Source organism: Homo sapiens, chromosome 1, assembly GCF_000001405.40.
Source record: "Homo sapiens chromosome 1, GRCh38.p14 Primary Assembly".
Taxonomy (NCBI): Eukaryota; Metazoa; Chordata; class Mammalia; order Primates; family Hominidae; genus Homo; species Homo sapiens.
The window spans coordinates 95,467,004-95,479,719 of NC_000001.11; the positions used below are offsets into that span (position 1 = coordinate 95,467,004).

Below are 12,716 nucleotides of genomic sequence, written 5' to 3' on the forward strand. Positions count from 1 at the left end.
TGTTTGAGTAGAATTGGTATTAGTTCTTCTTTAAATGGTGGAATTCAGCAGTGAAGACATCAGGTCCTGGGGTTTTCTTTACTAGGAGACTATTACTGTTTCATCTTGTTACTTGCTATTGGTCTGTTTAGGCTTTGGGTTTTTTCATAAGATTGTGTTTTTCAATCTCGGTAGGTTGTATGTGTCTAGGAATTGATTCATTTCCTCTAGATTTTCCAGTTTATTGGCATATAGTTCCTCCTAGTGGCCACTAATGATCCTTTGAATGTCTGTGATATCAGTTATAATGTCTCCTTTTCCATCTTTGATTTTATTTACTTGAATATTCTCTTTTTTTCTTAGTCTGGCTAAAGGTTTGTCACTTTTGTTTATCTTTCAAAAAACCAACTTTTTGTTTCATTGGCCTTTTCTTTTGCTGTTTCAATTTCATTTATTTCTGCTCTGATCTTTATTAGTTCTTTTAGGAATTTGGGGTTTGGTTTCCTCTTATTTTTCTCGTTCTTTACGATGCAACATTAAGTTATTTGAAGTTTTTTCTCTTTTTTGATGTAAGCACTTATGGCTGTATATTTCCCTTTTAGAATTGCTTTCACTTTCACTGTATCCTACAGGTTTTGCTGTATTGTGTTTTCATTATCATTTGTTTGAAGGAATTTTTCAGTTTCCTTCTTTTTAAAAATTTTTAATAGAAACAGGTTCTTGCCATCTTGCCCAGGCTGATTTTGAACTCCTGGCCTCAAGCGATCCTCCTGCTTTGGCCTCCCAAAGTGCTAGGATTACAGATGTGTGCCATGATGCCTGGTCTCAATTTCCTTCTTAATTCTTCATTGACCTATGGTCATTCAGGAGGATATTGCTTAATTTCCATGTGTTTGTATAGTGTCCAAAATTCCTCCTCTTGTTGATTTCTAGTTTTATTCCTTTGTGGTTAGAGAAGATGCTTAATATTAGTTCAATTGTTTTGAATGTTTTAAGACTTGTTTTGTAATTTAATGTGTAGTCTATCCTTGAGAATGATCCATTTGCTAAGGAGGAGAATGTGTATTCTGCAGCTGTTGGATGGAATGTTCTGTAAATACCTATTAGGTCCATTTGCTCTACAGTGTAGATTAAATCCAATGTTTCTTGTTGATTTTCTGTTTAGAAGATCTGCCCAATGCTGAAAGTGAGGTGTTGGAATTTGTAGCTATTGTTGAATTGAATTCTAACTCTTTCTTTAGCTCTAATAAAATTTGCTTTATGTATCTGGGTACTCCAGTATTGGGTACATATATATTTACAATTGTTATATCCTGTTGCTGAATTGACCCCTTTATCATTATGTAATGACCTTCTTTGTCTCCTCTTATAGTTTTTGTCTTAAAATCTATTTTGTCTGATATAAGTTTAGGTACTCCTGCTTTTCTTTGGTTTCCATTGACATGCAATATCTTTTTCTGTCTCTTTATTTTCAGCCTCTGTTTATCTTTATAGGTGAAGTGCATTTCTTGCAGGCAACAGATCATTAGATCTTGCTTTTTCATTCATTCAGCCACTCTGTATCTTTTTTATTGGAGAGTTTAGCCCATTTACATTCAATGTTATTATTGATAAGTAAGGATTTACACATGCCATTTTGTTATTTGTTTTCTGATTGTTTTGTGTTTATCTCTTCCTTTTTTTCTTCTTTCCTGTCTTCCTTTTAGTGAAGGTGATTTTCTCTGGTGATATGTTTTAATTTCTTGCTTTTTCTTTTTTGTATATCTATTGCATGTTTTTTGATTTGAGGTTACCATGAGACTTGCAAATACTGTCTTATAATCCATTATTTTAATCTGATAACAACTTAACCCTGTTCCAAACAAACAAAAATAAAACTAATAAAGACTCCATGTCTTAACTTTGTTCCCTGCTTTTTAACTTTTTGTTCTTTCTCTTTATGTCTTATTGTACTGTCTATGTCCTGAATAGTTGTTGTAGTTATTATTTTTGATTGGTTCATTATTTAGTCTTTCTACTTAAGATGTGAGTAACTTACACCTTACAATTACAGGATTATAATATTCTGTGCTTGTCTATGCAGTTACTATTACCAGTGAGTTTTGTACCTTCAGATGATTTCTTATTGCTTATTAATGTCCTTTTCTTTCAGACTGAAGAACTTCCTTTAGCATTTCTTGTAGGACAGGTCTGGTGTTGATGAAACCCCTCAGCTTTTGTTTGGGACAGTCTTTATTTCTCTTTCATGCTTGAAGGAGGATACTTTCACTGAATATACTCTTATGGGGTAAAAATTTTTTCCTTCAGCATTTTAAATATGTCATGCAACTTTTTCCTCGCCTGTAGGGTTTCAGCGGAAAAGTCTGCTGCTAGATGTATTGGAGCTCAATTGTGTATTTTTTTTTCTCTTTCTTGCTGCTTTTAAGATCCTTTCTTTATCCTTGACCTTTGGGAGTTTGATTATTAAATGCTTTGAGGTATTTAATACCTCAAAACCTCTTTGGGTTAAATGCCTTGAGGTATTTAATACCTCAATACCTCTTTAGATTAAATCTTCTTGATGTTCTATAACATTTTTGTATTTGAATGTTGATACCTTTCTCTAGGTTTGGGAAATTCTCTGATATTATCCCTTTGAATAAACTTTCTACCCCTATCACTTTCTCTATTTCCTTCTTAAGGCCAATAACTTTTAGATTTGCCCTTGTGAGGCTATTTTCTGGATATTGAATGTGTGCTTTATTGTTTTTTATTCTTTTTTTTTTCTTTTGTCTCCTCTGGCTGTGTCTTTTCAAATAGCCTATCTTCAAGCTCCCTAATTCTTCTGCTTGATCAGTTCTGCTACTAGGAGACTCTGATGCATTCTTCAGTATGTGAATTGCATTTTTCAACTCTAGAATTTGGCTTGATTGTTTTTAATCACTTTAATCTCTTTGTTATATTTATCTGATAGAATTCTGCATTCCTTCTCTGTGATATCTTGAATTTCTTTTTTTCTCAAAACAGCTACTCTGAATTCTCTGACTGAAAGGTCACATATGGCTGTTTCTCCAAGATTGGTCCCTGGTGCTTGGTTTACTTCATTTGACAAGGTCATATTTTCCTGGCTGGTCTTGATGCTTGTAGATGTTCTTTGGTGTCTGGGCATTGAAAAGTTACGTACTTATTGTAGTTCTCACAACGTGGGCTTCTCAATCTGTGCCTGTCCTTCTTGGGAAGGCTTTTCAGGTATTTGAAGAAATGTGAGACCCAAGCCCAGTAATGTTGTGGTTCATGCAGACTTGTAGATGTATCACCTTGGTGGTTTTGAATAAGATCCATATGAACTCTTTGGATTATCAGACAGAGACTCTTTCTCTTTCCTTACATTCTTTCAAACAAATGGTATCTCTCTCTCTGTGTTAAACTACCTGGAGGTAGGGATGGGGTGATGCAGGCACACTGTGGCCATCACACCTAGAATTGCCCTGGCTCTGACTGGAAGCCAGCACAACACTGGGTCTTTCCAAAGGCCTGATGTAACCATTACCTGTCTGCCACCTATGTTCACTTAATGCTTTAGGGCTCTGCAATCAGCAGGTAGTGAAGCCAGCCAGGTTTGCATTCTTCCTTTCAGGTTGGTGAGTTCCCCCAGGCCCTGGGCGGGTCCAGAGATGCTGTCTGGCAGCCAGGAATCAGAGTCAAAAACCTTAGAAATTTACCTGGTATTCTCTTCTATTCTGGCTAAGTTGGCACTCAGATTATATGGCAAAGTCCTTCTCTCTTCCCTCCCCTTTACACAGGCAAAAGAGCCTCTCCCTGTGGCCACTACCACCTCTAGCCCATAAGCAGATCACACTGCCAGGCCACTGCTGATGTTCACTTAAGGTCCAAGGGTGCTTCAGTCAGTCTGTGGTGAATACTGCCAGGCCTGGGACTCACACTTTAGGGTAGTGGGCTCCCCTCTTGCCCAAGGCACTTCCAAAAATTTTGTCCAAGAGCCTAAGCCTGGACTTGGAACCCAAGAGCCTGCTTGGTGTTCTATTTCACTGTGGTTGAGCTGGTACCTGAAGCCAGCACATCTCAGAGTCTCATCCAGGGTCCATGGCATACTATCTGGGTATTGCTCTTGTTTATTCAGGGCCCAACAATTCTTTCAGCAGGTGGTGAATCCTGCCAGGACTGGGTCCTTCTCTTCAAGGAATAGTGTTCCTTTTTGGCCCAATGTGTGTCTAGAAATATTGTCTGGGGGCTAGGGCCTGGAATATGGGCCTCATAATTCTGCCAGGTGCCCTATCCTACTGTGGCTTATCTGGTATCCAAGATGCAAGACAACATCCTCTTTACTCTTCTCTCTCCTCTTCTCAAGCAGATGGAAAGAGTCACTTTTGTTGCTCTAAGCTTCCCTGTCTGAGGTTAGGGGAGGGGTGTTGTAAACACTTCTAAGCCACCCTGCCTGATGTCTCCCTAGGTCATATGCTGCCCCATTCCATTGGCTCTAAGTCCAGCATAGCACCAGGACTTGCCTAAGATTTTCAGTCTTTATGTCCTAGACTGCCTTTCAGGTTCACTTGGGACCCTAGTACGCTTCAGCCTGTTGTGGTGAGGCTTGCTGAAACTCAAATTCTAAGCACTGGAATGGGCCATTCTCCTCCGGCTAGGGCTGGTCCAAATGGTCCCTCTGTGGGCAGGCACTGACTGAGTTCAGCATGGTTTTACTTTCTGCTGTGACAGGGTAGCACAGAGTTCAATGCAAAGTCACTCAGTCACTGTGCTCTCCCTCCCCCAAGTGCACAGATTGTCTGTCTGTGCTGCACGGCCATTGCTGGGAGGAATGAGGGAGAGGTGTTATCTGTGAATCAAGACTGTCTCTCCTATGTCTTCAGTGCCTCTTTCAGCAGTATGAGGTTAAAACTAGGTTCTGTGATTACTTACCTCATTTTTGGTTCCTATGAAGGTGCTTCTTTGTGTGCAGTTAGTTGTTAAAATTTGGCGTTCCTGTAGGGGGAACAATCAGTGGAGCCTTCTATTCCACCATCTTGCCTCACCCTCAGATCTTTATTTTATATTTTGTATTTTGTATTTTTTTTTTTTTTGCTTTTCCTCTCTTTTCTTTATCAGAGCGGACAATAAGTTGTTTACTTTTTGGTGTTTTTAATCAATTTTATATTTTACTGTTTAGCACCTTTTTTCTTCATTTCTAAGTCATTCATTTCTCCTTATCTTTATTAACTTCACCTTTCTGCTTTTCTTAGCCTTATTTTGTATTTTGCAACTTGGGTGCCTAATTTACACATTTTCCTATTTCTTTTTGTATTCAGAGAAGTATTTGAGGATACTATTTTTCCTCTGACTTCTCTTTTAACTATTTCCATAAGGTCTTATATACTGTGTTTTCACTATTGTTATTTTCTAGATGTTCTTGAGTTTCTGTTTGAATTTGCTCTTTTATCTTCAACAATATTTTATTAGGAGATTCAGAAGGGCTACATTAGGAAATTCTTTTAAACTATAGTATTACCAATGATTGAACTTGAGAAAATTAAGTTCTGTGTGATGAAAGTCAATGAAAATGTGTGAGGGGGGTTGAAATGTTCTGTGAATCAGTAGCAAACTGCTTTTTTTTAGTGGAATTAGAAATAGTTAAGGCTGGAAGAATCTGTAGAGAAAACGAAAAGTGGAACTAGAGGCCAGGTCTAGGTAAAAGTAAAATGAGACACATTATCAGTAAGATGGCATCTGAAACACATTATCAAAGAGCACTATCCCCATCTCCTCAAGCCTTATTGCTTTCTTGATGTCTGAACCACACAGTGTCACTCTTTACATCTTGTGCTGGGTTATAATTGCTCATATTAGACTGTAAGCTCTTTGAGGGCAGAGAGTCTGTTCTTTGAAGTAACAATCCCTGGTGTTCACTCTACCTAGTTGTACTGTGGCTGATTATAGTTGGTGAGATCAAAGTGTCATAGACACTAAACAATGAAAATGCCATTAAATGAATATAAAACTTCTAGAAGATACCTGCTGCCAACACAAATTAGATTAGTTGGCATAAAAATCTGCTCTGGATCAATCACTTGTTTTAACTGTTTGGGTAATATTGCTGTCATGTTATAAATTGCTGATATAAATTTTTCTCAAGTTTCATAATATTCAGAAAGTGACTCTTTAAAAAGTTTCAACGTGTCTTTTACTTTGAAATCATAGTCTTTTGCACTTGTATTAGTCTTTGTTTGCTTTTCTCTGGTCTCAGCAAAATGCTTGTGTAACTGTCTGACCTTTTCACAAATTATGGCAGTGCTTAACAGTACATTTTTCTGGGCTTGGTCTTCTTTCCATATATAGAGAACTCAGAGCTGTCTTGCATGTGCCCACTTGGGCTACAGAAGTAGGGACAGTCATTGCTCTGGGTGTTTATAATGAAGCAGGTGGGGACTGAATGGATGATGGGCACATAGAAAGATAATTGATTAAAACTCACTTATACAAAGACAAAATCACTATATTTTAAATCCAAAGTTGGCCAAACCACTGTAGTGATTACTGCATCTCCCCTTAATAGTTAACAACTACAATAATAACAGCAACAACAACAACAAAGAGCTGCTGTCATTCATTGACTGCTTACTCTGTGTCAGATGCTGTTCTTAGCACTCTCCACGGCTAACTCACTAAATCTTCATGACCCAAGTAACTATGACTTTACTCATTTTACAGATAAGATAACTAATACACAGAGAGATTAAATTTCTCAGGTCCCTGAGTTAGTAAGTGGCAAATCTGGAATTCAAATTCCAAAGCAGTCCAGTTTTAGAAGCTTCTCATTACTATTATATGCTGCTGCTTCTAATACAAAATGATTGGGCTTTAAGTACTTATCTATTCAGTGGCTTACACATTATCAACAAGAACAGTCATTAGTGAAATCAAAGAATTTCAAAGCCAGAAGAAACCCTAGGGAGCAACAAGTTGGTCAGATCTCTCCAGTTTTCAGATGAGAAGTTGGAGGCCCAGAGAGATGGAAGAGCAGAATTATAGATATGGAAATGGACAGAGCCAGGAGTTGACTTCAGGTCTTCTGCCTCTTAGGATATTTTCTTTTTAAATGACATTAAATATTCTTTCCTTTGTTTTCATCATGTACTATCTTGTATAAAAGGTAGAAATTTATACTATTCCTATTTTTATTCTATAATTGTGCAAAAAAAAGATCAGGGATGTAATATTTGTTGAGCAACTGTTATGCGCTGGCTCCATAGTAATTCCGGGTTGCAAATGCTACTGTCCTTTTTATCCAACTGAGGAAGCCAAGGCTCAGAGAGGTTAAAAACTTGCCTGAATCCTAGGGCTAGTAAGTGTTGGAACTCCATTTGAATTCTTACTCATTGGACTTTGAAACCAACAGTCTTTGTACTCCCTGGACTGTCCATGGTTAAGGCCTTCAAAGAGTACAGACTTCATTAACCATATATATTTAGCTCTAGCTATTTACTCATTTTTCTACTGAGAGACATGCTCTCCTCCAATGTTGCAAATATGCCTGGTACATCTATTAATGATATAGTTTATTAAAAGGGAGGTTTTATGGATCTCTGCCTTTTGGTGAAAAAATTTTCTGGCAGAGTGCCTCCTGAAAAAAAAAAAATCTCCATTACTGAGAAGCCCTTTCATTTGTAATTGCTTCTTAGGTAAGACTATTAGATATTCCTCCCTAGCTGCTGTAGCTGGGCTATAAATTGTCTGCACTTTGTTTTGTTGGGATTTTGTGGTTTAATTGTTCCAAGTCACTTACATGGAGCTACATTTACAGACACAAAGAGGAGCTGGACTGATGTTTAGCTGTCTTGCACCAGCTTGTATTTTTGGATTAGCTAGTATCCCAGGAAAAGGGTTTGTATCCAAGATAATCCTTCCTCTGGACTGGTTTTCTTTCTGTGTTTTGACCCTCCCAGAAGCAGAAGAGTCATCTTGCCTCTCAGTAAAAGCAGAGAAGGGGAAATATCTTTGAATTGCTGGGTAGGATAGCTTCTCTCGCTCAGCATTTTTTCTGTTCTCCACAAGAAAACCTCTTACTGCAAAATATGTTTGTTGGTGGATCACAGACTTCAAACTCACAGGACCTTATCTCCGATACACTGAAAGTAAATGCAACATATTAAATAGTTTAATCAAAATGAGGTAGAGAGGCTATGAAGTGTCTGTAAACATTTGGTAAGCAATTTTGTCTTTTTTGCTGTTGTTCTTGTTCCCCTAGTTGCCATTACAATTCTTGGTTGGGGTTACTAGTGTTTGTTTTTAATCTTTAACGATACTGTCCCTTTCTTTGGCTGTTTGTGAAATCTCATCCAGGAATCTGATGCAAAGAAGCACGAGGACCTTCATTTTCACTCCAGTGGTTGTGGTGACTGTGGTGAGTCTGGGGGAACGGGGCAAGTTAATTGGTGGCGAGTTAATCCCCCCCCAAGAAATGTGGGGTCAGAGGCAAAAGACAAAAGCTTAGACATAGCCTATTATTTTCTTGTTTCCTTCATTTGCCTGAATCCATGAAGCCAGTGGGAGTCAATCAGGCAACACAAGGATACTCCAGTCTCTTTTCTTGCCTTCCTTATAAAGGCAGTCATAGGAGTTGGGCAGGTAGCACGGCCTATTACATTGTCCTGGGATCCACACCATCTAGCTGGCCTCACCACCGTAAGGCCATTTCCATCTGAAGGATCCAGGCAGTTCTTTACAATGTACCATTATAGCAGAACTGCTTCCTTACCTGAGTGGCATTTCAAATTAACATAATGGTATCCTAATGAGCTGTGCCACTTTCAACTTGCCAAATATGTTCAAAGTACTTTTCTCAACAGCAGTGTCATACCCAGTCAATCAAGTAATCCATTACCCACTGGCTCCTGGCTGAAGGAAAGGTCATACGCTTGTCTTGCAAAACAAAAGAGAATTGTTTCAAGACAGAGGCCAATTGTAGCATGTTTTAAATGCTTCTGGCTACCTGAGTGCCCAAACTTGACTAATCTCATGGTAGGGGTGAAACTTACAGAGCCAATTCTAATATAAAACAGCAGACACATAACAAACCAACAAACCCATTTCCAACTCTTTAACAAAGGGAGTTACTTCAGCTTTTCTTGGGAAAGAGGTGATTGTTATCCACATTCAGGAAGCCCCTGTGAGTTGTAGAAATGGGACACAGCAATAATCAAGAATGCCACTGAAGGAATATTGAAAAAGTAATTAGATTTTCCTTAGTTCATCATCTAATTAGAGGGCAGGTTAAAGTCCAAAGTAATGAAATTAAAATCTAACTACCGTTAAATCTGTAATGTTTTTTGCTGGTACCAGAGCACCTGGCACTGTAGGAGTCATGTGAGGACACAGAAGCCCCAAAAGCAGAGGAGTGTAAGGCTTTAGATAGAATTTGACAGGGCTCCATATGAAACAAGGGCAGGGGATGAGAACAAATTGACAAGATATCAGGACGTGTGATTCTTTGTTGAAAAAGGAATAATACTTATATATAGAAGTCTCAGTTTGCTCTGCTGCCAGATTATTCAGATTATGTTATTATAATAGGTCTAATAGGTCTAGTTTTCCTTTGTTAGTATACTTTTGTGGGAGATAGGCCCATTCATAGAAAATATAGACTTTTTAGCCATAGCAGTGTTTATTGCACCATTGGCAAATAATGAAACATTTGGACATTAGAATCAACTACAGGGATAGCATGACAATCCACAAAAGTACCTGGACTGAGTTCATTACATTTTTAACAGGAGAGGAATACACAACAGAAGAAACACGCACCCACATGAACACACACGGGCACAAAGAGATACTACAGAATGGGGAGCAATAAATTATTGGCCTAATTCGTGCCTGGTTCCAAAGAAAAGGGGCAGTTGGAGCCCCCCAGGCCATCTCACCGCCTTTCCCCTGACTGGGTCCCTCCATCTGGTAGTTGCCAGCCAATGTTGGAGGTCTGACCCATGCTTTTCTCTCCTTGGGAAAAGGTGAGTTTAAATATTTGGCTTCTTACTAGAGAAGACCTATATACAAACAGAATAGCCACACTGGCCTGAAAGGGCCAAAGTAGATAGCAAGTAAAGTTTTATGTTTCAGATATGAGCATGGGGTGGTGATATGGTTTTGCTCTGTGTCCCCACCCAAACCTCATCTTGAATTGTACTCCCATAATTCCCATGTGTTGTGGGAGGAACCTGGTGGGGGATAATGGAATCATGGGGGCAGTTTCTCCCACACTGTTCTCATGGTAGTGAATAAGTCTCACGAGATCTGATGGTTTGATAAGGGGAAACCCATTTCACTGGGCTCCCATTCTCTCTTTTTGCCTGCTGCCATCCATGTAAGACATGACTTGCTCCTCCTTGTCTTCTACTATGATTGTGAGGCCTTCTCAGCCGCTTGGAACTGTGAGTCTAATTAAACCTTTTTCTTTTGTACATTGCCCAGTCTCAGGTATGTCTTTATCTTAGAAAACAGACTCATACAGTAAATTGGTGCCAGTAGAGTGGGGTGTTGCTGAAAAGATACCTGAAAATGTGGGGGCGACTTTGGAACTGGGTAACAGGCAGAGGTTGGAACAATTTGGAAAGCTCAGAAGAAGACAAGAAAATTTGGGAAAGTTTGTAACTTCCTAGAGACTTGTTGAATGACTTTGACCACAAGCCTGACAGCAATATGGACAATAAGGTCTAGGCTGAAGTGGTCTCAGATGGAGATGAGGAAGTTGTTGGGAACTGGAGCAAAGATATGTGTTGTTGTTGTGTTTTAGCAAAGAGACTGGTGGCATTTTGCCCCTGCCCTAGAAATCTGGGAAACTTTGAACTTGAGAGAGATGATTTAGGGTATCTGGTGGAAGAAATTTCTAAGCATCAAAACATCTAAGGGGTGACTTGGGATGTGTTAATTCAGACTTGGGATGTTAAAGGTATTCAGTTTTATAAAGGAAGCAGAGCATAAAAGTTTGTAAAATTTACAGCCTGACAATGTGATAGAAAAGAAAATCCCATTTTCTGAGGAGAAATTCAAGTTGGCTACAGAAATTTGCATAATTAATGAGGAGCTGAATGTTAATCCCCAAGACAATGGGGAAAATGTCTCCAGGGCATGTCAGAGGTCTTCTTGGCAGCCTCTCCCATCACAGGTGTGGAGACCTAGGAAGAAAATATAGTTTCCTGGGCTGGGCCCAGGGTCTCCGTGCTGTGCACAGTCCAGGGACTTGGTGCCCTGCATCCCAGCTGCTCCAGCCATGACTAAAAGGGGTCAAGGTACAGCTTGGGCCATGGCTTCAAAGGGTGTAAGCCCCAAGCTTTGACAGCCCCAACATGATGTCGAGCCTGAGGGTGCACAGAAGTCAAGAATTGGGGTTTGGGAACCTCCACCTAGATTTCAGAAGATATATGGAAACGCCTGGATGCCCAGGCATAAGTTTGTTGCAGGGGCAGGGTGCTTGTGGAGAACCTCTGCTAGCACAGAAGGGAAATGTGGGTCAGAGCCCCCACACACAGTGCCTACTGGGGCACTGCCTAGTGAAGCTGTGAGAAGAGGGCCACTGTCCTTCAGACCCCAGAATGGTAGATCCACTGACAATTTGCACACTTCACCTGGAAAAGGTGGCTGTACTCTGCAAAGCTACAGAGATGGAGCTGCCCAAGACCATGGGAACCCACCTCTTGCATCAGCATGACCTGGATATGAGACATGGAGTCAAAGGAGATCATTTTGGAGCTTTAAGATTTGACTGCCCTGCTGGAGTTTGGACTTGCATGGGGCCTGTAACTCCTTTGCTTTGGCCAATTTCTCCCACTTGGAATGGCTGTATTTACCCAATGCCTATACCCCCTTTGTATCTAGGAAGTAATTAACTTGCTTTTGATTTTACAGGTTTATAGGTGGAAGGGACTTGCCTTGTCTCAGACAAGACTTTGGACTGTTGACTTTTCAGTTAATATTGAAATAAGTTAAGCCTTTGGGGGACTACTGGGAAGGCATGATTGGTTCTGAAATGTGAGGACATGAGATTTGGGAGGGGTCAGGGGCAGAATGATATGGTTTGGCTCTATGTCTCCACCTAAATCTCATCTTAAATTGTACTCCAATAATTCCCACTTGTTGTGGGAAGAACCTGGTGGGAGATAATTGAATCATGGGGGCAGTTTGCCCCATACTGTTCTCATGGCAGTGAATAAGTCTCATGAGATCTGATGGTTTGATAAGGGGAAACTCATTTCACTTGGCTCTCATTCTCTCTTTTTGCCTGTTGCCATTCATGTAAGAAGTGACTTGCTCCTCCTTGTCTTCCACCATCATTATGAGGCTTCTGCAGCCACGTGGAACTGTGAGTCCATTAAACCTTTTTCTTTTGTAAATTGCCCAGTCTTGGGTATGTCTTTATCAGAGCATGAAAACAGACTAATACAGGTATTACTCAAATGTCCACTTTTTCTTCTCCTATAGGGTTCTCTTCCTCTGAAGAGTTAGGAAAGAATAGGAGTTGTCCCCAAATTGTCCACCCCATCTTCATACACTCCTCCCAATGCCTTCCAAGCCCCCAGGCCCACCCTGCCTGAAATTCCTGCCCATGGTCCCCATGATACCTCCATAGGCTGCAGCTCCCTCCAGGCAGCCATTAGAGGACTGAGGATGTGGTTCACCCACACTGGACTGCCCATCTCTTGTTCCCCAGTACCCTCTCACAGGGGTGTACAGGTATGTTATTGAATAAAAGG

General features: G+C 40.0%; 1 long non-coding RNA gene across 1 annotated transcript; it reads left to right on the forward strand.

Annotated features, from left to right (window-relative positions):
• The first annotated feature begins 7,733 nt into the window (after positions 1-7,733).
• On the forward strand, positions 7,734-12,353 carry LINC01761 (long intergenic non-protein coding RNA 1761). The gene is made up of 4 exons (NR_033966.1): positions 7,734-8,172; positions 8,311-8,371; positions 9,741-9,977; positions 10,336-12,353. It is a non-coding gene; the product is annotated as a long intergenic non-protein coding RNA 1761 (long non-coding RNA).
• The last annotated feature ends 363 nt before the right edge of the window (positions 12,354-12,716 follow it).